Source organism: Homo sapiens, chromosome 1 (genome assembly GCF_000001405.40).
Source record: "Homo sapiens chromosome 1, GRCh38.p14 Primary Assembly".
Classification (NCBI taxonomy): domain Eukaryota; kingdom Metazoa; phylum Chordata; class Mammalia; order Primates; family Hominidae; genus Homo; species Homo sapiens.
This window is the reverse complement of record NC_000001.11, coordinates 156,893,713-156,916,925: the sequence shown is the minus strand read 5'-3', so window position 1 is coordinate 156,916,925 and position 23,213 is coordinate 156,893,713. Positions and strand designations below refer to the sequence as shown.

Sequence of the window (23,213 nt, the reverse complement as noted above, 5' to 3'; positions counted from 1 at the left end):
ACCACACCTGGCTAATTTTTTGTATTTTTAGTAGAGACAGGGTTTCACCATGTTGGCCAGGCTGGTCTCAAACTCCTGACCTCATGATCCACCTGCCTTGGCCTTCCAAAGTGCTGGGATTACAGGCGTGACCCACCGCACCCGGCCAGCTGTTTCACTTTCTTATTATTCATGTTTTCACTGGAGTAACACTTATAATTTCCTTCAAGAACTTTTCCTTTGCATCCACAACTTGGCTATTTAGTGCAAAAGGCCTAGCTTTCAGCCTGTCTTGGCTTTCAACATGCCTTCCCCACTAAGTTTAATCATTTCTAGCTTCTGATTTTAAGTGAGAGATGTGTGACTATTCCTTTCACTTCAACACTTAGAGGCCCCTGTAGGGTTATTAATTGGCCTCATTTCAATATTGTTGTGTCTCAGGGAATAGGGAGGCCCTAAGAGAGGGAAAGACTTGGGGGAACGGCTGGTCGGTGGAGCAGTCAGAACACACACAACGTTTGCTGATTAAGTTTACCGTGTTATATGGGTGCGGTTCATGGCGCCCCGAAACAATTACAATAATATATCAAAGATCACTGATCACAGATCACTATAACACATATAATAACAATGAAAATGCTTGAAATATTGCAAGCAATTACCAAAATGCAATGTAGAGACCCAAAATGGGCACATGCTATTGGAAAAATGGTGCCAACAGATTTGCTTAAAGCAGTGTTGACACAAATCTTCAATTTCTCTGCTTTGCTTTTCTTAACCTATTGCTGTCACATATATGTCCCAAAACCTTCAATTTCTTTAAAAATTCTGCTACCTGTGAAGTGCAATAAATCAAGGCATGCCTGTATACTCTCTCCTGTTATCCTTTCTCCAGCCTCTGCACCCCCCTCAGCCTCAGCCCCTCTGCACCCCTGCCCCTGGCACCTTCCCACACCTGAGCTCTGCGTTGTTACCCTGGGGAAATGCCACCCTTTAGGGAAGTCTCCAACTTATTCAGTCTGTAACTGTCAGAGCATACAGATGGCTCATCTATCTTAGCAGTTACTGCATGTCACTGGTACTTAATTCAGTCAGCCACTCAGCCTTTTGGGGAGCATTTGTTGAGTGCCTACTCTGTGCCAAGGGAGAGCTAATATTGAGCATAAGCACAGGATTCTTGCCTTCAGGGAGCTTACAGTCTAGTGGGGGAGGCAGAGATTAATCAAATAATCACATAAAGAAAGAACACATTAAAGAAGTGCCTGGCACCCTGTAGGCCTTCTGCAGGTACCTGGTGAGTGAACACAGCTGCAATCAGGGCTGTGAAAGATGTACGGAGGGTGGGCACTTCCCTGAGGAGGAGGTGTAAAGGAAAAGCAGGGGTGAACAGGCGAGTGGGGGAGGAAGGGCACTCCAGGTGTGCAGGTCCCTGTGCCAGAAAGAAGAGTGGCCTACAGGAGGACCTAGAGGCCGGTGTGACTGGCGTGCAGTGACAGGAACACAGTTCAAGGTGAGGCTGGAGAGACAGATGGGCCAGGCAAAGCAGGGCCTTTAAGGCCTTCAAAAGTTTTGATACTGGCAGAAGAGCAAAGAGGCACCTATGAAGGCTTTCAGGTAGGGAGTAACTAACCAGCCTGTATTTTGAAATTATGAGCCATGCATTGGAAGGTTCACTGAATCAATGGAGGAGGCCAGTTAGGAGGCTATTGCTAGAGTTAATTGGGTTGGTTCCATCTCCCTACTAAATGGTAAGTGCCCTAGGACAGAACCTGTGCCTGGTACCCTTCTAAAATCACAGAAACACACACACGCACAGAGCCCAGGCTGAGCATGCACAGAAAAGGTACCCCACACGCATGTCTGAAATCAGAGTTACCCAGCAACTTCCAACCCACCAGTTTATGTACACAGGGCCCTGGAGGCCTTGGGAGCAGTGGGTTGGGAAAGGGAGCCAGGCATCCTGCTGATCAGCGTCTCCCATGGTAGAACCCAGGAACAAGGCTCCCATCACTTGCTCTGTTAAGCGTTGTTCATGTTCACAGCCTGCCGGTCCACTCCCTGCTCCTGGCAGGGGTACACTAGGCTCTGTCCCCAGCCTTGAGCAGCAACAGCCAGGTGTGCTGGCCTCTGCCATACCATCCTGGCTCCTCAACGGTCCTGGCGTCGAAGTGGAGGTGATGGGGGATGCCGTACTGGAGGCAAGTCATAATGTCCAGGGATGTGGCTGTTCTTGGGTGAGTCATAGTGGCCGGGGGGTAGGCCCGGAGGCAGAGGGGGCTGGGAGCCCACAGAGTCTCGGTCTGGAAACATGAGGACAAGATAAGAGGGAGTGGCTCCTCCCACCACTCTCCCCACTCCCTCCACTCCCACTGCACTCCTCTCCTCTTCAGCCTCTTCAAGGCAAAGAGAAGCAGATGGGGCCTGGATACATACACCAGTTTACTATCAGCTGGCCGTGCGGCTCCAAGCAAAACTCTCTTAGCTTCTCAGCTGCCAATGGAGAAAGCCACCTCAGCCCGCCCACCTCCCAGGATATGAGGAGACTTTATCACCTGCCTGGCTCCCTACTTTTCTGGGTACCAACTCCACCACTCTGATGCTGTACGACCCCACTTCTATCCTGAGCTCTGCGAAGAAGGTACACCATACTGTTCTCCAGATGAGGACACAGGCTCTGAGAGGCCACGTCGCCTCCCCGTCATGCCTGATTTGAGCCCGAAGCTGACCCCAAAGGCCTCACTCTTGATGCCACATCATGCCTTCTCTTCTCCCTCTGTTCCTTCTGTTTTTCTGCCTCCCTTGTCCCAGTTCTCTGCTGCTCCTGCCAGTGGAGAGGGAGGGCTCACCATGGATCAGGGGGCTGGGCTGCTCGTAGGTGCCACTGTCTCTCTGTGGCTGGGGTTGCCGCCGCCTCTGGCTGTCCCAGAACTGAGGAGGCTGCCTGGGGGGAGATCCTGAGGGAGGGCCTTTCATCTCCATGTAGCTGCTCTCCCGGGGGCCCCCTGGCAAGCTGGGCAGGTCCCGGATGGTGGCATATGGGTTCTCACTGCTCAGGGAAGCCACACTGGCCCCGAGCTCCTCTTCAGAGATGAGCCCTAAGGATAGAGGAAAGAAGTCAGGCCGCATGGAGGCACTGGTTCCTCAGCCCCAGCTCAGCCACCTCCCTTGTTGCCCCTGTGCCCATACCTTTATTGTAGAATGGGCCTGGGCCATTGCTGTAGCTATAGCTGTAGCTTCGGTCCAGGCGGCTGCTCCCTGAGGAGGAGGAGGCAACTGGTAATCAGCCCTCTGTCCCCTCCCCCGGCTCACACTTCCTCTAGAAATGGGGCCCAGAGCCCCCGTCTCCAGACACACACACTCAGACGCGGCATCTGGGCTGCACACATCCACCCGCGCCAGAGACCCTGGCCTCCCGGCACCTACCCCTGTCCAGAGGCCCTGGAGGGGGCTCCCGGCGGTGCTTCCAGTCAGCAGGCAGGGTGGTGTGGTTATCATGCCCTTGGGCCCCACCTGGCCGCTCAGGGTTCTGCAGGCTGGCAAAGAGCGGGCCTGGAACCTAAGAGGGGACAGTGCAGGAGGGAGAGCAAGAGGCAAGGACAGGGCTTTCCAGAGAAGCTGGTCTGTGCGCTTCCCTCCACAGTGCACCCCCTCCCCCGGCACTGACCTTGTTAGGGGGTGGGGGGTTTGGGGAGCACTGCGACAGGGTGTGGTAGCTGGGGTTGGAGTAGTAGTGACTGTAGCTCGGAGGGACATCTGCATGACAGACACAAGCACAGGGTGAGCTCAGCGATGGGCAGGAGTCCAAGAGAGCTGTTTTGTCCCCGGAGATCAGTACTTTGGCCTCCCTGACCTCCCTTCCTCCCTCCTCCCCACTCCTCATCTTCCCTTTGGGTCATGCCCAGCATCCACTCTTGTGCCTATGAGCCAGCCACTCATCTGTGCCCCAGGCCCTGTGCCAGCTCACCTGGCATGACATACTCGGAGCCGTCCAGGCGCCCGCTGCTGTAAGCCACAGCCAGGTGGTGGTGCTCCTTGCCTTTTTGCCAGTGCCGATAGCCAATGAACAGTGCCACCAGGGCTACCACAAGGGACCCCAGCACTGCAATGCCAATCACTGCACCCAGCGAGTTATACGCTACTGGAGTGGTCGGCATCACAGTAAAGGGCTCCTGGATTCCTGTGTGGAATGGGGTGCTCACTCAGAATGGCATCTTGGCTCTGCTGCATGGGAGAGGTGCTCAGGAGGGAAGTAGGGACTGTATGAGGGGCCTAGGTCCCAGTTCCCTGGGGACAATGGGTGGGAAGGAGAGGGCAAAGAACTCACCAATCCTGCAAGGTGCACCACTGTGCCCTGGGGGACATACACAGGCCCCAGTCTCTGGGTGGCACTTTTCTCCAGGACCACACTGGCATGGCTGGGAGCAGTTAGCACCAAATGTCCCCAGAGGGCAGCCTGGGGAGACAGCCAAGGAGGCAGGCCGGCATCAGAGCCGCCAGGAAACTCTAGTCTCCTTTTTTTGGGTAAGGGTTAAGTTGGAGGCAGGGGCCTGGAGTTCCCCTTCTGTTGGTACCTTCTAAGCAGTGGTGTCCAGTCCAGCCTAGGGGGCAGATACAGCTCCCATCCTGGGGATGGCAGGTCCCACCATGGTGACATTGGCAGGTCTGGGCACAGTTTTCTCCCCAGTGTCCTGGAGGGCATGCTACGGGAGACATGGGGCCTGTCTGGTGGGGCAGGTACAGCTTTTCCTGGATGAACTCTCAGCCCCCAGCATCACTGAAGCCTTTAGCTCAGCTTTGGTCTCCCTGGGCACACCAAAGCTTTGAACAGTATCTGCAACCAATGACTCACAAATGATTATTTCCAGCCCCATCTCTCCCCCAAACTCCAGACCCACGTGTCCAACTACCTACTCAACATCTGCACTTGACTATCTAATAGCCACTTCAAAATAGTGTATTCAGTGCCACACAACCAAAGGCTTCCAAGCTACCCCGGATGGATTTTTGTTTTGTTTTTAACATAAGAGAGAAGTAAACATCTGTCCTGTTTAAGGCATTATTTTTGTGTGTCTAACACTAGCAATAATCTAATAGTAGTTGTAACCAGAGTCTATGGAAAAACTCTTCACCAAGATGACTTCCTTCTTTACCCCGCCTGCTGGTAAGCTGAAATTCAGTCTTCTTCATAACAGCCTGTTTCCTCTTTCCAAACTCGTTTTACTTGGCTTTTTTGGACTAATCTTTTCAATGATCTTAATATATTTTTGTGGGGGAAAGGCTCATAAAATAAAGAAATACATGTATTTATTAATATATAAATAAAAATAAACTGAAAAATGCAAAAGAAAAAAAGGGCTGGGCGCAGTGGCTCACACCTGTAATCCCAGCACTTTGGGAAGCCAAGATCACCTGAGGCGGATGGATCACCTGAGGTCAGGAGTTCGAGACCAGCCTGGCCAATATGATGAAACCCCAGGGGTCTCTACTAAACATACAAAAATTAGCCTGCTGTGGTGGTGTGTGCCTGTAATCCCAGCTACTGGGGAGGCTGAGGCAAAAGAATTAACTAAACCAGAGGCAGAGGTTGCAGGGAGCTGAGATCATGCCACTGCACTCTAGCCTGGGCAACAGAGTGAGATTCCGTGTCAAAAAAAAAAAAAAGAAAGAAAGAGAGAGGGAGGGAGAGAAAAGAAGAAAGAAAGAAGAAAGAAAAGAAAGAAAGAAAGGAAAGAAAGAAAGAAAGAAAAGAAAGAAAGAAAGAAGAAAGAAAAGAAAGGAAAGAAAGAAAGAAAAAGAAAGAAAGAAAAGAAAGAAAGGAAAGAAAGAAAGAAGAAAGAAAAGAAAGAAAGAAAGGAAAGAAAGAAAGAAAGAAAGAAAGAAAGAAAGAAAGAAAGAAAGAAAGAAAGAAAAAGAAATCAAGAGAAAATGTCCCAAGCTAAGCCTATGATTTCCCCTGCTCCCATAAAAATACTGTTCTTCCCAGGCTTCCCATGCAGAAGGGCAGGAATTTTTCCCCCTGACCTGTTCACTGCTGCATCCTTAGCACCTAGAACAGTACCCAGCATGTAGGTGGTGCCCAGTAAATATTTACTCAAGGTGGGCCCAGAGGCTTTTATACCCAGGAGCTGGGGGACAGAGACCTCCCGTCCTCAGCACCCCCTCTCAGCATGCACGTATGCTCAGACACACAAGCTACCACATACGCTGGGAGCAGTCGGGGCCTGTCCAGCCAGCCAGGCAGTAGCAGGTCCCGTTCGAGGGGTGGCAGAAGGAGTGGTTAGCGCACTTGCAGGGCACACAGCGTTTGCCATAGCGGCCAGGCTGACAGGCTGGGGGAAAGGGGTACATGGTGATTGGGGGCAGAGGCCAATCCTCAATCAGCCCTTACCCCACCGTCTCCCTCCCACCTTCCCACTGCAGTAACTAGTCTGAAGACGGGTCAGAGGAAGAGACCGGGGGTAAGGTGGGAGAGGTGGGCGGCGGGCGCGGGGGGAGGGGTGCTCTGGCAGCTGACACTACACTGCCCCCTGCTGGTGGCAGGTGGAAGGGGCAGTAGGGAGCCTCACATCTCTGGCAGGAGGGGCCCCGGAATCCGGGTGCACACACGCAGTTGCCATTCTCAGGGAGACAGGTGCCCCCATTCTTGCAGGTGCAGGTGTTGCTACAGTTGACTCCCCATAAGCCCTCAGGGCAGGACAGGTGGCAGCGGGCACCTGTGGGAGACAGCAGTCGGGTGTGCCTGGCTGGGCCCCCTTCAGTTCCAGGGGGCTCTTCTGGACACATTTCCTATGGATGCATCCCCCAATCCACAGTAGGCCTGGGGCCCCAGAATGCTCACCCATCCAGCCAGCCTGGCACTGACAGCGTCCATGAACAGGGTCACAGCCATCAGAGTGGTCACAGTCACAGCGACTGGCACAACCTTCTCCAAACTGCCCCTTCTTGGAGAAGGAGTGGGGAGCAGGTAGGCCAGTCAGCTGGGGGACGCCATGCCCTCCCCACCCCCAGGCAGACAGGCTGTCCAGCACTCACCGGACAGGGCAGCTGGCAGTGGGCCCCATGCCACCCAGGGGTGCAGGTACAGGCTCCAGTTTGGGGGCTGCAGACTGCCTCATGGGCACACTGGCAGCTGGCATTGCAACTGAAGCCCCAGGTTCCGGGTGGGCAGGGCACAGAGCAGTTACCACGCTGCCAACCTGGAGGAGGGGCCTGGTAGGTAGGTATGGGGACCCATTTCCCTTCCTGAGCAAGCACACAGTGGGAGCTGGCTGGGCCAGATTCTATGCTATGAGCTGGGGTGGGTGGGGGGTGTTCACGGCACCATACAGGAGAAAAGCTTATGAGTTATTTGATGCGGAGCAGAAGGCTAACTGCCTTCCAGTGAGGTACCACCCCATTCTGGGTCTGGGGTGCCTTCTGCAAAATAAAGGGGATGGCACTAAACCCAAATGTTTACAGGGGCCCCATCAGGTAACTAAATGACTTATACAGAGGATGTGCCAGACAACAGGGAGTAGTGGGGACTGAAGATGGGAGACTTGTTAGCCAAACAAAGCACAACTGTATCCGAGTCCAGCCTAAAGGTTGCCAATGTGTCACTCTGGCAGATGTGAGGCCCTTCCCAGCATGGTAATTGTGTTTCCGTATGACTGAGGGTGAGGGACGTTCGCCAGTGAGGTGGCTTTTGGCCTCAGCCTTTAAGGACAGGTAGGATCTTTGTGGTTGAAGAAAAGCAAAGTGGATATTCCAGGAAGAAAGTAGCCTGGATACTTTCCCTGTGTCCAGCTGCTGCCCCTCCACCCTTACCCTGCAGCCGCTCCCCTGCCCTTGGCCCACCCATACTCTTGGACTCTCCCTTCTTCCCTTGGCCATCCCCCAAGTCTTCTCTCTGGGAAACTCCACCCTATTACCTTCCTTGCAGACGCACTCGCCGTCGATGGGTGAGCAGGCGATGGCATTTTCACATGAGCAGCGTGCAGAACAGTTGACACCGTAGGTGTCAGGAGGACAAAGACTAGCACAGTGAGGGCCCTGAAAGAGGGTGAGCGGGTGAGAGGGGCGGCCCATTCCTTGGCCTCTCCACCTGCCTCGCTTCCTTGCAGCCGGGCGCGCCTCACCGTGTAACCCGGCGCGCACTGACAGAGGCCGCTGGTAGCCTGGCAGACGCCACCGTGCAGGCAGAGACAGTGCTCCTGGCACCCTGGCCCATGCGTGTCCTGCGGGCAGCTCTCGTTGCAGTGGAGGCCCGCCCAGCCCGGCAGGCAGGAGCACTCCCCGTTCATCGGGTGGCAGCTGGGGGCAGAGGCGGGGGCGTGGCGCGGTCTGAGCTGGGCAGGGGCAGGGCAGCTTCCCGACCCCTCCGCGTGGTCAGTGGGATTCGCACATCGCTGGGGTAAGGGGGTCACTAGGGAGGCTCCGCGCTATTCTGAAAACTGGGTTGGGGCAAGTAGCGGTACCCCAGGCCCCTCCCGGCCCCTGAGGTCCCTCCCTTTCCCCTTCTGTGACACCTGTCCCCCTTGGATATGGCCCTGGCTCTGTGGTGACTTCGGCCAGGAAGACCTCCCCATTGGCCTCCTGATCCTTTGACCACATGTCCCGCGGCCCACCTGAGGCTGTGCTCCCGGTCGCAGGTGCAGGGGGCCTGGCAGCTGAGACCGTAGAAGCCGTCGGGGCAGAGGCGATCCGTGCAGCGGTCCCCAGTGAAGCCGTGTTCGCACAGACATGCGCCGTTGGCCGGGAAGCAACGGGCGTCCGGGGCGCAGTCGCACGTCTCAGCACAGTCCTGCCCAAAGCGGCCCACCGGGCACTCCTCCCGGCACCTGGGCACCTAGCTGAGTGAGCCTGGCGGCGCCCCACCTCCTCCCTCCCGTCTCCCGCCCGCCCCACGCCACTCACCGATCCCCAGTGTAACCCGGAGCGCAGCGGCACTGCCCAGTGAATCGGTCACAGAGGCCGCCGTTGTGGCAGCGACATTCCTGGGAGCAGTTGGGTCCGTGAAAGCCCTCTGGGCAGGGCAGGGAGCAGATGGTGCCCTGTGGGGATAAGAGGTCAACAGGGCCCCAGGCACCCAGCCTCCTCCCCAAGGCCACAGGACCCCTTGACACCCCCATAACCACAGAGCTCACCCCCCTCACTCACCTTGGAGCCCTGCTTAGCACCACCCACAGAATTCTCCCCAGACCCACACCCCATGCCCACAGGCCCCACCCTCCATACCATCCAGCCAGGGGGGCAGCTGCAGGAGCCCTGTGGGGTTTGGAAGACACCTCCATTTTGGCAAGAATGGGTGCTGGGGCAGAAGAAGCCAGAAGTGCCCTGGGAACAGGACACGTCACAGCTGCAGGACAGAGTGGGTGGAGTCAATGTGCAAACAAGCAATAACTGCTTCCTCTCTTGCCTCCAAGGACTGCCCCCACAACCCCCACCTCAGGACTTAGTGATTCACACTTGCTCTTTCCTGCTGGGGACTGTCGAGTCAGAAAGCAAAGGTTTCCAGGACTGGAAATGGCAGGGACACCCTGGCACCGGCAGGTGGGGGTGAGCAAAGAGCCACGGGTGGCATGTCTGCCTCTCGGGCGCCCCCACCTCCTCACCTTGGCTTGGTCTGTTCACTCTCGGGGAACATCTGTGCTACTGTAGTAGGCTCAACTCCACGAGCGCCTCCACAAAGCGTGATCTTGATTTCCACCTAGGTCTACCTTCTCCCTCCCGGGACTCCCCAGCTCCCCCTGCACCCTGCCTTGCAACAGGGTTCTCTGGGTCCTTGTCCCAGCCTCACTTTGCAGCATGCCTTCACACACGTGCTACCTCATGTTATCTTCACAGCCACCCTGCCATGTAGACAATACTATTCCCGTTTTACAGACAGGAAACAAGCCCACAACGAGTCAATGATTTGCTCAAGGTCACTCCACTCGTGAGGAATAGGATCCACTGGGACCAGGATCTTGGCCTCCACATCATCCCCACACTTGGGGCCCTGTCTGAGTCACCTCATTTCCCCACATAGATCTGTGTGGCCTTGTGTCTGCGATCTTGTTAAAGTGTCGTTCCCCCCATTACATACCTGGGCCCAGTTCTCTCTGCGGGGCAGAAGCAGGCTCCAGTCTGGGGATCGCAGGGTGCCCCATGGCACTGGCAGCGGAACTGGCAGGCAGGGCCATAGTAGCCAGGGGTACAGGGCTGAAGGCAGTTCGGGGGCTGCAGACCAGAAGGGCAAGAACATACCCCACTCTTGGGATCACACGAGCTGTTGTTGCCGCAGCTGCAGGGCTTGTCACACTGTGGCCCCCACATTCCTGGGGCACACTCTGTGGGATAAGGAGGCGGGAAGGGGGTCACCAGGGGTCTAGTCCATCCCCAGCCTCCCCGTCTCTGTCTCCCAGCCTCTGTCTCCCAGCCCCCACAGGCCCACCCTGTCTTCCACATCTCCAGAAAAGGCAGATGGCAGCAATGGGGCTCTGGCGGGTAATCGCCCTGGGGTCCTAAGCCCCTGTGCCCTGGTAGGGAGGGTGTACCTGAGGGTCCTGTGGCCCTGAAGGCACAAGAGGCCACTCCCTGGGGTCAGTAGCCACTCACCACTGGAACAGTCGTCGCCCCGCCAGCCTGGCACACATTGGCACTGATTGGGTGCCACACAACGGCCATGGACACACTCCTGGGCACAGAGCGCTGGGACAGAGATGGGTGTGGTGAGATGTGTCCACCCCTGCCCCTACCCAGCTTTTATCCTGCAAAGCCTAACCCCACCTTCCTCCAAAACCAGGGACCTGAAGTTCTCCAAGCCCCAATTCTGCCTCTAAGATAAAGACTGAGGGGCAGCAACTCAGGGGGAGAACTTAGCAAGATGCCAGTGTTCTGGGTTCCCCTGTTCCTTTTTGTGAAATTGTCTGAGCACCTTGTTGGGAAAATGCTTTGGGGGAGATCCTCAAAAGGGGACTGAACATGGACACTGTCCAGAGAGAGGGCAGGTGGCGGTCGGGGTTCTCTGGAGAGCAGTGTTTGCAGAGGCTCGTGATGGGCAGTGGCTGAGGGAAGTGGGAGGAAGAGGAAGACAGGCTCCAGTCATTACAGGGTGCTGGGAGGGGGGTGCAGTGGGCAGGAGAGACTGGATAGTGACAAGTCAGAGACCAATAGCAACAGAGAGTCAGGGAGAGGAAGAGACAGAGGCAGACCCAGACACCAAGTCCTGAGACACACAGTGACAGAGAGACAGAGACAGCCCAAAGACAGAACAAGAGCTCTAGGGCAGACAGCGATGCAGAGACACTGTTGAGGGACATGGAGAGATGGGGTGGGAGACACATGGGGCCGGCTGGAGACAGGGGTGTGAAGTGGTGATGGAGAGGGAAGTGCTGATCCCCATCCTGGGGACAAGGCCAGGGAGAGGAGAGGAGGGGGGAACCCAAAAGGGCAGAGGAGTAACCCCATTCTAGCGGGGGCCGGGAGGGACTCAGAAGAGTAGGCTAAGCTCCCCGCATTCCATTGCCCCACCCCGCTCCCTAACCCAACCCTGGACTCACGGACACAGAACCCCCTGCTCTCATAGAAGCCATGGCAGCACTGCAGGCGCTGGCGGTGGTCCGTCTTCACCACCTGACGGTACACGGTCCGGTATACAACCCTGCGGAGGCCAGGAAGGCGGCCCTCAGCCCTCCCTGCTGTCCGCACTCACCACAGTGTGGCCAGGGGGAGGCCAGGGAAGGGGCACCACTCAACACTCTGGGCTGAGGGCGCATAGAAAGCGCATTCCCTGTTTGAGGTTGCAGTGCACTACGATCTCGCCACTGCACTCCAGCCTGGGTGACAGAGCGAGACCTTGTCTATTAAAAAAAGAAAGAGCATTCCCTTCTTGCCCCCCCCCCAACCCCACAGGCATATACTGTAACATGCATGCGTACCCTAAACACACATACACGCATTCACATATACATCCCATACACACGTACCCGACACAGACCATGCAGAATGAATCCCTAGAAGCCAGGAGTTTCCTCTGAGTTTCTGAGAAGTGAACAGGTACAGAGGGCCAGGGGCCAGGCTGAGGCAGCGACTCAGGTAGCCCATCCACCCATGGAGGATGAGGAGCACTCACGTGGGCTGGGGGCAAGTATGGGGGCCCTCCCAGGGCCGCTCGCAGGGCTCTGAGGGGAGCAGGCTGAAGGGGCGGGAGTGGGACTCCTTGGTGGTGGTAGTGAAGCTGCAAGACAGGGAACAGGGTCAGGGCCGAGGGCAGGAGGAGGCCTGAGCGGCCACAACGGGAAAATGGCCATGAGGGCTTGGCCACAGTGGGGAATCCACAGCCCAACGCTGGGGCTGCTCTCGTAGCCTAGGATGGGACCCCCATCCTGTCCCACCTCTCAAGTCTGGAGGCTTCTCCCAGAACTGGAAGGTTCCTGGGATACCCTCCATCAGAGCGCCCTTCCCACTCTATTGGACCGGAGCCTTCCATTTTTCTCTCCCTGCCCTCTCCTCCCTGTATGGAAAGGGTGAGTGAGAACTGACTCCTGGGCCCAGCTGGCGGCGATGGGCTGAAGTATTTCCGGCTATATTCTGCCCTGGGTCTTTTCTCCCCGCCCTGTTTCCTTTGCTCCCCCTGGGCCAGCCCCTCTGCTTGCTCCACAACGAATGGCTCCCACTCTGCGCTCTGTTCCAAAGTTGGCCTCCCACAGGAACTAAGGGACGGGGAAAGAGAAAGGATGGTTCAGAGACTGAGACAAGGTCAGAAATGGGGCTGGAGTCAAAGGCAACCCATAGAGAGGAGTAGAGAGAGCAGAAACAGAGAAATAGGCGGGAGGGGAGAGACTAGAGAGAAGGAAGGAGATTAAGGAAGGACCAAGAAAAGGACCCCAGTAGGGACAATAGGGACAATCGGGAGCTAGGGCTTGGTGCCCTCAAGGTGCAGCAGGGGCCCTCTCACCTTTCCCAGAAGCTGCAGGTATTGGGATCACTGGGGTTGAGAGTTCCAGCCAGCCGCAGGCCCACAGCCAGGAGAAGGAGGGGACACAGAGGCGGTGACATTGCAGAGGCCTGCAGCAAGACCGGCGCAGAGTGGGCAGTGGCGCTGCAGCCAGCAGCCTGGAGGACCTGTCTGCAGAGATCTGAGCCGTGGGCATGCAGAAGAGACCAGACTGCGGCCCCGTGTCCTCTGGCCCCTTGCTCTGAGCTCCAGCTCCCCTACACCTCACTCCTGAACTGCAGTCACTTCCACGCCTCCGGTCTTTGCTCATAGTTTGCTTAGACACCCTCACGTCTCATTCTTCACCTGGAGTTCCCATCTTTCAAGGTCTAGTTCAGGTGCCACCCCTTCCCTCCTCCACTTCCTGATGCTCATTGGCAGATGATCCCACTCATTCCTTCTGGGGGTCCCAGTATCATTCACCCCCACCCCACTGTTCCAGTGCCTGCTCCCTGACCATGACCTCCAGAGGCAGGGACCCAGTGCGTTTCATCTCTGAATCCCCAGCCCCCAGCCCAGGCCCTACCCAGGGCACTTTGATATTTGTACCAAGGTGTGAGACTGGAACCAGTGAGGGGAAGTGATGAGGGACTCAGCCTTGGGCTCAGTCAGAGGAAGAACTTTCCAACAGTCAGAGCGGCTCAGGAATAGAATCGGCTACCTCAGGTGGTGAGTTCCCTGTCACTGGACATATGCAGGCAGAAGCCAAAACCAGCCTGATGAAACGCTGTCAGGGGTTTCCTGCTCTATATGGTGGGAGTGGGGCTGGGTCCAGGTGACCTCCCAACCAGTGGTGTGCTGGAACCACCTCATACGGGCCCAGAGAGCCAATTGTATGCATCTCTTCCTAGCAACATGTTCAGTGATGTCACGTGAGTAGCTTGAAATCAGGCATGGGGGGTTATTGACACCAGAGAAACTAGCAAACACTAAAACCCAAGGCCAGTCTCCCTCCCAGAGTCAGTTGTGACACCTTAGCCAGCACACCACAACACCCAACTCTAGGTGCCATCACCTGAAGAGGTCACCAACCTGGCCTTGCATTTAAGGAAAAGCTCCCGCCTCCCTCAGACTGCCCTGTCAGCCATTCGGAAATGGGGTCCTCTCCATCCCCACCACCCCTGGCTCCCAGCACTTCAGACGGCTCTGCTGCCTCAGCTCCTGAGCTCAGGAGAGGATGAGTTACCGCAGTGCCCATCCCCGCAGCCGGCTTCAGGGTCTGCATTCCGTGTTCCCAAAACTTGCTCTGGCTCCCTGCTCTACGCCTCCCCGAGGCGCCCACATCTGCTTATAATTTTTCTGAGACGAGAGAAAGGTCGCGGTTGCTGGCCCCTTACCCCCCTGAGTATCTCTGGAATGTTGCTGCCTGGCCCTACCCCACACCCCACACCCACACACTCCCAGGGTCCCCAAAGCCACTCTCAGCCCCAAGAAGGGCAGCCGCTCCTTCCCTCCAGGTCTAGGCTCCTAAATTAACCCCATCTCAGCCGCCCATGTTCCTCCTTCACCTTTAACCCTCCAGCAGCCAAATCTCCAGCCTTTCATCCAGGATGCTGGCCCACCTATCCTCCCAGTGCCAGCGTCTACCCACCCCTCCAGTGCAGCCCAGCCGCATGCCCCATCACACTTCCCGCAGGGCGAATCTCAGCCTCTAGCCTCCTCTGTGCTTCCTCCTATCCATCCTCAGTCCCCAAGTAACTCACCAGGTGGGGCCTGCCCACAGCTCAGCCCTGGGGCCTGGGACCTGGGGCCTGGGGGCCAGGGAATGTCCTGGGGGATCCCAGCGTTCAGGATATGAAGCCTGAAAACAGGAAACAGAGCCTGGCTAGGAAGGGGGACAGCAGGGAGCGTGACGGGGGTGGCTCCATCCTCCCACCATCCTGAACGCAGTGGGTAGCATACGGGAGGGCCATGACCAGAAGCCTCTTTCTGGCAGCTTGTCTCCAGAGCTGACACTGTGGCCCCCTCTGAAGGGGAGAGGCCACAGTCAGGAGTGCCCTAGAGACACTCCCCAGAGTCTGTCCCAGAGCTCCACCCCCACATCACCCAGACACATCCCCACTCCCAAATAGAGTCATCCCTTCTCCCAATGTCCCCAAACCATCCCCTCCCACCCTGCCCTGCTCCAGCCATCTTCCCAGGCCCAATGCCCACTCCAGGGATCGCTCTGCCTAGCCCCAGCTAACCTTCTCTCCACCTCTCCCTCAGTGTGGTTGGCAGCCAGGGCCCTGGTCAGGACCCCGAGCCCTCCATATGCCTCTGCCTCATCTCTCGGTCTCCACACTCCCCTCTTCCCTGACCCTCAGCTCTGGCCCTGGCGTGGGGCCCCTGTGCTCCAACTGCAGCTCAGTCTGTCTGAAGCCAGGCTCATCACCCTTGTCCCTGGGTGAGCCTCATCTCCTGAGACACACAAGGACTCCCCAGCCATCCTTCTGCCCTGGATCTGTTCACAGAGCCTATGGCGTGGTGGCATGGACAAAACTTGTTGCAGGAAGGAGTCGAGTTAAGGCCCAGGGAGGAAGTGCCATATAGGTTGAGCTGTTGTTGGGCCGAGAAAAGGTCCTTCCTCCCATTCCTGTCAGCCCCTACCCACCCAAGTCCTGTCCCTGTCACCTCCTCCCAGCCAACTTCTAGAGGACACGGTTCACCTGGGGGACTTTGAGATGGACTGAAGGACTGAGGAGCATGAGGAGGAGCTGACTCTCATCCCCACCCACTTCTGGCTGGCTGGGAGGTTAGCTGGCTGGAAGGGTGGGTAGGTTCTGTTTTCCCAAAGGTCCTCAGGGTAGGGCCAGAGTGCGGAGGAGGCATCAGCTGGTCAGCCCAGGGGCTGGAAGCCAGGGTGGGGTCAGGGGAGATCAGTGGGTGGCCCCGGGAGGGGACAGATGAGATGGGGGTCCTGGCAGGAAGAGGAAGGTTTTGGCTTGACCATCCTTTGCCTCTGAGAAGGGAACACAGGCCAGACCAGGAGCCCAGAGCCCCAGCCTGGCCTCCAGGCTAGTTCCCATCTAAGCCTTTGTCCCTGAGGGGCAGGGCACCTGAGCCTGGCCCATGCTCCCCCAACCCCTTCCAGCCACAGCAGCAATGGGCCCATTGCATATACCCAAGAGATTGCATATACCCCTCAAGGGGGTGAAATGAGACCACTCCTGGACCCCTGCTCTGCCCTGGGGGCCCACAGTGCACTCACTGAGGGGGACCCTGGAGCACCCCTGCTGCAGGCTTGCTTCTTCTCATGCAGAGGCCCCCTCCTGTTCCCCTACTCAACCTTCACCCTCCAAGCCTCTGGTTTGAGGGACTCAAACACCTTCCCTCCCGAGAATCATAAGGTGACCCCACGTATCGTTCACTGAGCTGCGACAGGCAGGGTGTTGAGAGATTTACGTGGATCATCACATTTAAAGTTTACATTAACCCCTTGTAGTAGGTGTTATGGCCCACTTCAGAGATGAGGAAGCAGGCACAGAGAGGGTAAGAAACCTGACCAGGACCGCACAGCCAGGAGTGTCAGAGCTGGGATCCAAATCCAGGCTGCTGGCAGAGGACTCCCCATGATTCTACTCTTTCCCAAGTCCAGATGGGAAGCCCAGGGGCTCTGTATCTTCTTTTTAAAAGTCTCTCTTATGGGGTGGGGGAGCTGCCAGGGGATTGGACAGGAGAAGGGGATGGGGGTGGGGGCTGCCACAAGAACATGATCAGAAGCGTGGGAACTGAGATGTGTTTACAGTCAAGAATGAGCTGACACTTCTCTCTCCTCCACCTCGAGATGCAAATCGGCTGGGCTCCTGGCCAGGCCCTGAGATCCCAGTCCCGCCTGCGCAGCCCAGCATCCCTGCCCTCTCAGCCTCCGAGCCCACACAGAAGACCAGATCACCCTCCCTGGGCTTCCCTAAACTCCAGCTCAGCTGGTTCCCTCTGGTGGGGAGCCCCCCTACCCTCACTGTGCCCCAACCCCTCCTAGGAGGAAGGAATTGAGTGTGGGCTCTAGGGGAGCAGGGGTGGGGGGGATTAGAGTTCCTGGTGGACAAGAGGATCCATTTCTATAGAAAGCAGAGAGTAAGGGTGACGGAAGTGAGACAGCAGAAGGGACTTCCCCACGGGCTCCCTTCCAGCTTCTCTGGGAAGTCATGTAGCATAGGATAACCCCTCACCTCTGCACCCCCAACCCCTGCCCAAGTTCAAGCCTGGGTGTGAATCCCAGCCTGCAGTTCCCTCACCTAGAAAATGGGGATAAGATTAGTGCTTCCTTTGTAGGGTCGCTGTGCAGACTAAATGAGTTGATCTAGATAAAGCAGTTAGACCCAGTACCTAATATGCTCAGTTAACATTAGCTGTCTCCATGATAGCATTCTCAGTCCCACTCCTCCTCTTGCACCCAATGTGGCCCCCATCCGCCCTCCCCTTGGCGCCTTTGGGTATTAATTCCAGGAAAAACCTTCTTGTTTTTTCTGAAGAACCCCCAGGATGATCCGGGAATGGGAATGGGGCCGCAAATGCTGACAGAGAGAAAGGAAGTGGGGGCAGGAGGGGGCCAGGCTCCCCCGAGAACCTGATCCCCCAAAACGATGGGCTGCCCGCCAGGTGCATCTTCAAGCCAGATGCGGTTGACAAGGCAGAATGCCTAAATTCTGCTTCCCCCAGCCCTGGGCCTAAGCACCAACCCTAGTTCCTTGCTCGGTCCGACTGCCCCCTCCTCTCTTCTCCATCTCCCTCTCTCTCTCATCACTTCCTATCCTGGAGTACAAAGCTTCTAGTCCTATCTCTGTCTTACAAGCTGTGTAACCTGAGTTATAATACATAACTTGAGTCCTCTGATCCTCCATCTCCTCATCTGTAAAATGGGAGACTAGCACTCCCCGCCATCTCTCAGGGCCCTGCAAAGGTTGGAACTGCTGGTTCCAGTGACCATTCTGGAACAGAACCTCAGACCTCAGACCTCAGACTAGAGCCTGCTCCGTGGATGTGTGTTGATGCAAAAACAGAATCCTCCAAGCTCCAGGGTTTCTGCCTCTTCCTTTTGGACTTTTGTCTTGTTCTTCATCAGAAACTCTGCTATCTGCCTTTCCCCATCCCCTTCCTTCATCAGCTTCTTGGTCTCTGTCTTCCTGCCTCTCTTTTTCCGTTCCTATACTAAGGCTGCCATGTACAGTTGCACGGTGTATTTACTGCATAACAGCATCCACTTTCAAGGACAGAGTGGAAGCTGAACTCCAGCTACAATCCACTCACTAAAGCCATGCGTCTTAGCTTGGTGCTAAGGTTGTCTTGCCCTGTATCTCTCTTGTCTTTCTGTCTGTCTCCCTGTCTCTGTGTCTGTTTCTCTGTGGCCTTTTCTAACCTATCTTTGCCATGGAGACAGGATCACTTAGTCCTTCCCACCCAGCAGTGAGATCGCAGTCCAAAGACTTCTCCCCTCCCTCCCTACACAGGGAGCTCCCCCAGCAGCCTGCTGCACTCCACAGGCTACCCAGTACACCCATGTACACGCTTGCACACTGAAGCACAGAGCACTGCCTATATCCAGCGGGGCCAGGCCCTCGGCACGCCAGGCATGTCTGCCGGATGGAGAAACAGGAAGCCTGCGTATGCGGCCAGAGTGCGCCAGAGGCTGGGCGGGAAAGGGGCAGGGGTGAGGGGCTGGACTTGTGTTCTCTGTGGCTCAGGAAACAGAAGCTAGAGGGTCCTAGGTCCGACCTGTTTACTCATCAGGAAATGGGGCAGCTGCAGGGATCCTGATTCACACATCTATCGCACCCCTCCCAGAGGGTGTTGCCAGTGCCAGTCCCAACCCTCGCCGCCACCCTGGAAGGTGCTGGTGATTGTCATCCCCATTTGGTAGGCAGCACAGTGGAGGGTCTCAGGTAAAATGCCTTGCCAAGGGCTGTCTGGCTGCCAGGGGCAAGAGCAGGATTCAAATCTGCTTCAAAGGACAAAGCAGTGTGGGGAGGTAAACCCTGGGTGACATAGACTAGGGAGCAGTGCCCCCTCAGGCCCACCCTGCTCATCGCCACCCCGAGATTACCTTCAGAAAGTGCTCTGGCCACTGCCCCCTCTCCCACTCTGTGGCTGCCTACACCCCAAGAAAGAACCCCCAGGGGGCCAGCCCCTACAAGGGGGTCCAGCTTCATTACCTCTACCCCTGCGCTCCCATCACACTGGACAGCCGCTGACCCCACATGCCTCTCACCACACCGCCACCATGGCTCAGGCCACCCCTGAAATGCCCAGGTTCTACACAGCCTCAAGGCCAGCCGCTTCCAAGAAGCCCCTCAGTGGCTCCAGGCTCACGCCCTCCTCCCTGCTCTCCAGGCCTTCCTGCAGGCTCTCAGGAACACACAGTCACCACAGACCCGCGTGGCCTCAAGGAGGCCGGGGGTTGCTCTTCCCCCTGAATGCCCTGAGGCTGGCTCCCAGCTGGACATGCACCTGTCCCTGGAGGCTCCACACCTCCCCAAACCCCAGCCAAAGTCCTGGCACCAGTGTACCTCCTCTGGAAGCAAGCGGAACTCACCCAGGCCAACCCAGGGGTTCACAGCCCCCGACGTACTCCAAGTCTGCTGGGCTGATTAGGCTGATGGATACCCTATCTGTGATTGCTGGTTTGTGAGTCTGGTTTCCCCACCAGGTTGGACTCCCTCAAATCTTATTCCTCTCCAAGGCTCTGTGAGCGGGTCTGGGTGCCCCCTGGGTGTTTCCTCGCGGCTCCCATCCTATGAGTCATTATGCTTTTATTAAAGTCAGTCTGCCTCACTGGACTGGAGCTCCCCAGGGACAGGGCACTTCTCTGCCTTCCTCACCACTTTAACCCCAGGACTGGCCAGCACTTACACCCAGGATGCCCGGCACCCAACAGGCAATAACTAAACATTTGTGTGGAGTGGATGGACTGATACACCCTGAAATCTTTCTGACTCCAGTGCTCCTTGACTTTCCCAGGAATGGGAGAGAGGGAGAGATGCTCAGAAGCTGTGGCTTCTCCCCGTACTCCAGACAGTAGAGCTGGGCCCTTGTCTCGGGGCCCTCAAGACACAATGAGGTGCGTGTTTGATGAGATGATGGAAAGTGGAATGCAGAAAGAACTTTTCAACGTTACAAAGCAAAAGGCGGCTCCAGACTTGCCCTCCTGACCTCCAGCAGGAATTCCTCAGGGCCGGCCTCCAAGTTCCTATGGGATGAGTGCACAACAGCTCCAGGCCCTGAGTCACCTGGAGGTGGAGGGGCATGCCCACACCGCCTGAGCCCTCATCCTGTGCCTCCCCATCCAGGGCCAACACCCCCTCACTGTCCACTGCACACATCTCCCGCTACACAGAGGGACTGGGCCCCAGGTGCCAATTCATGGGGGTAGGACGGAGGGCAAAAGTGGGAGGGCATGAGCACCCACCAGCAGTGAGCGGGCTACGCCCCAGGGCCCACTCACCTGCAGGGATCCTGATTCACACATCAATCGCAACCCCTCCCGCAGGCTGTCGCCAGTGCCAGTCCCAACCCTCGCCGCCACCCTGGAAGGTGCTGGTGATTGTCATCCCCATTTGGTAGGCAGCACAGTGGAGGGTCTCAGGTAAAATGCCTTGCCAAGGGCTGTCTGGCTGCCAGGGGCAAGAGCAGGATTCAAATCTGCTTCAAAGCACAAAGCAGTGTGGGGAGGTAACCCCTGGGTTACCTCCCAGGTACTGGGATACTAATTACTGCGCCTCGTTAAATGTGTGCTGTGGCTAGATCCTGTCTTTTAGTTCTCCCAGCAAGCCTATAAAGTAAGTGCTATTATGCCTCCCATTTTATGAAGAAATATCCCAGAAAAGTTCAGTGATTTGTCCTAGGCCACACAGGCAACTGAAGCCGGAGCAGGGATTTGGGCCAGGTCTATGTCATTCCAAAGCCTGTGCTGCTTTCTTTTTGTTTTGTTTTGAGACAGGGCTTCGCTGTGTGCCCAGGCTGGAATGCAGTGGCGTGATCATGGCTCACTGCAGCCTCAACCTCCTGGGCTCAAGTGATCCTCCCACCTCAGCCTCTTGAGTAGATGGGCCCATGGGCGGGCACCACCATGCCAAGCTAATTAAAAAAAAAAATTGTAGGGATGCAATCTCATTATGTTGACCAGGCCGGTCTTGAACTCCTGGCCTCCAGAGATCCTCATACCTTGGCCTCCCAAAATGCTGGGATTACCGGCGTGAGCCACCTCGCCTGGTGTTTCCAGTGTGCTGCCTTCTAACCTCACAGTTTCTCTTTGGTCTTCTGACTTTCTCCTCCTCTCCCTCTGTCTCCGCCTCCTTTTTGTTCTATCCCTAGGTCTCTGCTCTATTTTTCTAGGCCTGCTTTTCTCCCTCCGGGCATTTTGTTGTAATGAGTCTGTGCCTCTGCTGTGTCTCTGCATCTGTCAGCCTCTGTTTCCGTATTTATATCTGTCTCTATCTCTGTCTTTGTGTTTCTCTCTCTCCTTCCCTGTCTTCTCTGCCTCTTCCTTCTGGCTTCTCCCCTGTAGGTTAGATGACAGAAGCCAAGATCCTCCCCAAAGCTAGGATGGCACCCCAGGGTCCCCCATGAGTCCTGGGAGGCCTCTTTCTCAAGGCTCCCAAGGCTCCTCAGAGGAGAGGCTTGGGGAATGCCGTGGTGGAGGCTCCACCTGGCCTCAGCCTCCTCCCCAGCAGTGTGTGTCGGGTGCGGGGAGGCACACAGCAGCCCCATGACCTTCTATCTCTCTCCAGGTTTCCGACTGGTGGATGAGGCTGCCTGGAGCGTGAGTTTCCTCTTCTGGGAGAGTCTGATAGGAGATGTTGAGGGGGGACAGAGGGTGGAGGAACAGATGCCAACTCTCAGCTTCATCCTCCAGTGGAGAGAGAGGAAGGCAGAGAAGTGAGTCTGGCCAACCCAGCTCCTAGAGATGGCAGCCCCACCTGCAGTGGGGAACATGGTGGGTGGGCCTTCGGAGGCCTCAAGAGTGGGAGAGGCCACACAGCAGGGAGGAGACACAGGAGATAGGAGGGCTGCGCCCACACCCTGGCTTATGACTGGCTCACAAGCACACACAACAGGCCCTATACCATGAGCTGGTTTTGAGTGGGGTTCAGAGATGAGCTCCCCCGTCTCCAACCGTCCCCCTAGCACAAGGCCAGCTTAGGCCAGGGTTGAGAGCTGACACCCGGCCCAATCCTGCCCGAGCTGAGCCCTGGCTGAGCCTGGGAACCTCAGGCCAGCACAAGCTGTTCCTGTCCCCGGGGACTAGGGTCACAGCCCAGCCCCAGGAGAGGCCACTCATAACAGGCCAGAACAGGGGAGTGGAGAGCAGCTACTGGAGGCTGGAGACGGGGGTGGGGGTGAAGGGTTGCCTTGCTGGGGCCTGGGCTCCTGGACCCCCCACACACCCACCTGGCCCTTAGCACAACTTCAGATCATCAGCCTGCCAAGTTTTCTGAGGATCCAGTTGCCCGGGACCTCAAGCTGAACCCCCAGTCCTCATAACTGGCAAAGATGTGAGAGCCAGGGACCTGCAAACCTGGGTCCTTCCCCTACATCCTCCCTCAAACATTCCTGCCGCTGGACAGAGAGATGACACTGATAATCTGTTTATCTAGCGTCATTCAAAGCAGGAGACACGTTTTTGCTCACTTAAGCCTCACAACCCATGAGGTAGGCCCTATATTATTCTCCTTTAGAAATGAGAAACTGAGGCACAGAGGTCAGGCCTCTTGACCAAGACCCCACAGACAGTAAGCTGCAGAGTGGAGGGTGGCACTTAGGCAGTCTTGGCTCCAGTGTCGATGCTCTTGTGGCTACACTTCCCTTGCAAGCCAAGGACAGCACCCAGTCTTCTCTTCCCAGCCCTGGGAGGGGGCAGTGAGCCAGGCTGCCCCTGACTCACAAAGTCCGGGGACCAGGGGCTTAGGGAACAACCTCGCTAGCATTTCATCTCATTTACATGTTCATTACGGAAGGGAACCCCCAACCCATCCTCTCTGGCCCCCTCCACTGTCCCCTTCCCCTCCTTCACGTCTCTCTCCATCAGTCCCTCTTTTCTACACTCCTGGGTCTGGGGCCTCAGACTCCAGTCGAGGAGGGGGACCTCAGGGACCGCAAGCCCTTTCCCCGGGGCAGGGTGGTCTCCGGGGCCGCACCACCGGGCCTCCCCTGCCAGGGGGCGCGCAGTCACTCACCTGCCTTGGGGCCCCGTCTCCCCTGCGGCCTGGGGTAGGAACCGCCGGGGTCTGCGAGGAGGAGGACTGGACAGCCGAGGACGGGGCGAGGGTCCCCACTTCGAGCCCCAGCCTGACTGCGGGAG

General features: G+C 56.8%; 1 protein-coding gene across 15 annotated transcripts, besides 1 other annotated feature; it reads right to left on the bottom strand.

Moving 5' to 3' along the window:
• Positions 1 to 496: 496 nt before the first annotated feature.
• Positions 497 to 23,208, bottom strand: PEAR1 (platelet endothelial aggregation receptor 1). 15 transcript variants are annotated; one of them, XM_047419737.1, is made up of 25 exons: positions 23,089 to 23,208; positions 14,641 to 14,738; positions 12,899 to 13,069; positions 12,074 to 12,178; positions 11,928 to 11,982; positions 11,502 to 11,602; positions 10,558 to 10,650; positions 10,046 to 10,289; positions 9,196 to 9,316; positions 8,875 to 9,011; positions 8,586 to 8,798; positions 8,097 to 8,271; positions 7,890 to 8,010; positions 7,012 to 7,175; positions 6,818 to 6,920; positions 6,546 to 6,692; positions 6,183 to 6,308; positions 4,551 to 4,679; positions 4,304 to 4,432; positions 3,944 to 4,156; positions 3,644 to 3,732; positions 3,403 to 3,535; positions 3,166 to 3,234; positions 2,826 to 3,074; positions 497 to 2,279 (listed from the first exon to the last, which is right to left on the bottom strand). In XM_047419737.1, exons 5-25 carry the CDS (start codon positions 11,939 to 11,941, stop codon positions 2,128 to 2,130), a joined length of 2,922 nt encoding a protein of 973 aa, XP_047275693.1. In that variant the 5' UTR covers positions 11,942 to 11,982; positions 12,074 to 12,178; positions 12,899 to 13,069; positions 14,641 to 14,738; positions 23,089 to 23,208; the 3' UTR covers positions 497 to 2,127. The 15 variants fall into 15 exon arrangements, with proteins under 15 accessions (XP_047275693.1, NP_001340612.1, XP_005245198.1 ...); NM_001353683.2 differs by having other exon boundaries at positions 11,928 to 12,178; XM_005245141.4 differs by lacking the exon at positions 11,928 to 11,982.
• Positions 19,758 to 20,957: an enhancer, noted in NCBI's record as "CDK7 strongly-dependent group 2 enhancer chr1:156865761-156866960 (GRCh37/hg19 assembly coordinates)". NCBI's record gives its function as "activates an origin of replication core promoter dependent on BRD2, BRD4, P300/CBP, MED14 and CDK7 cofactors, with strong dependence on CDK7, by STARR-seq in HCT116 cells {active_cell/tissue: HCT116}" and the evidence as "EXISTENCE:reporter gene assay evidence [ECO:0000049][PMID:35650434]".
• Positions 23,209 to 23,213: the final 5 nt, after the last annotated feature.

Coding starts and splice junctions, on each gene's coding strand:
- PEAR1 (XM_017001234.3), bottom strand. CDS start 13,208: ATGAGCAAAGACCGGAGGCGTGGAAGTGACTGCAGTTCAGGAGTGAGG. Junction 10,651..11,501: donor GAGCAGGGGGTTCTGTGTCC/GTGAGTCCAGGG, acceptor TCTCTGTCCCAG/CGCTCTGTGCCCAGGAGTGT. Junction 3,075..3,165: donor AGGCCCATTCTACAATAAAG/GTATGGGCACAG, acceptor CTCTATCCTTAG/GGCTCATCTCTGAAGAGGAG.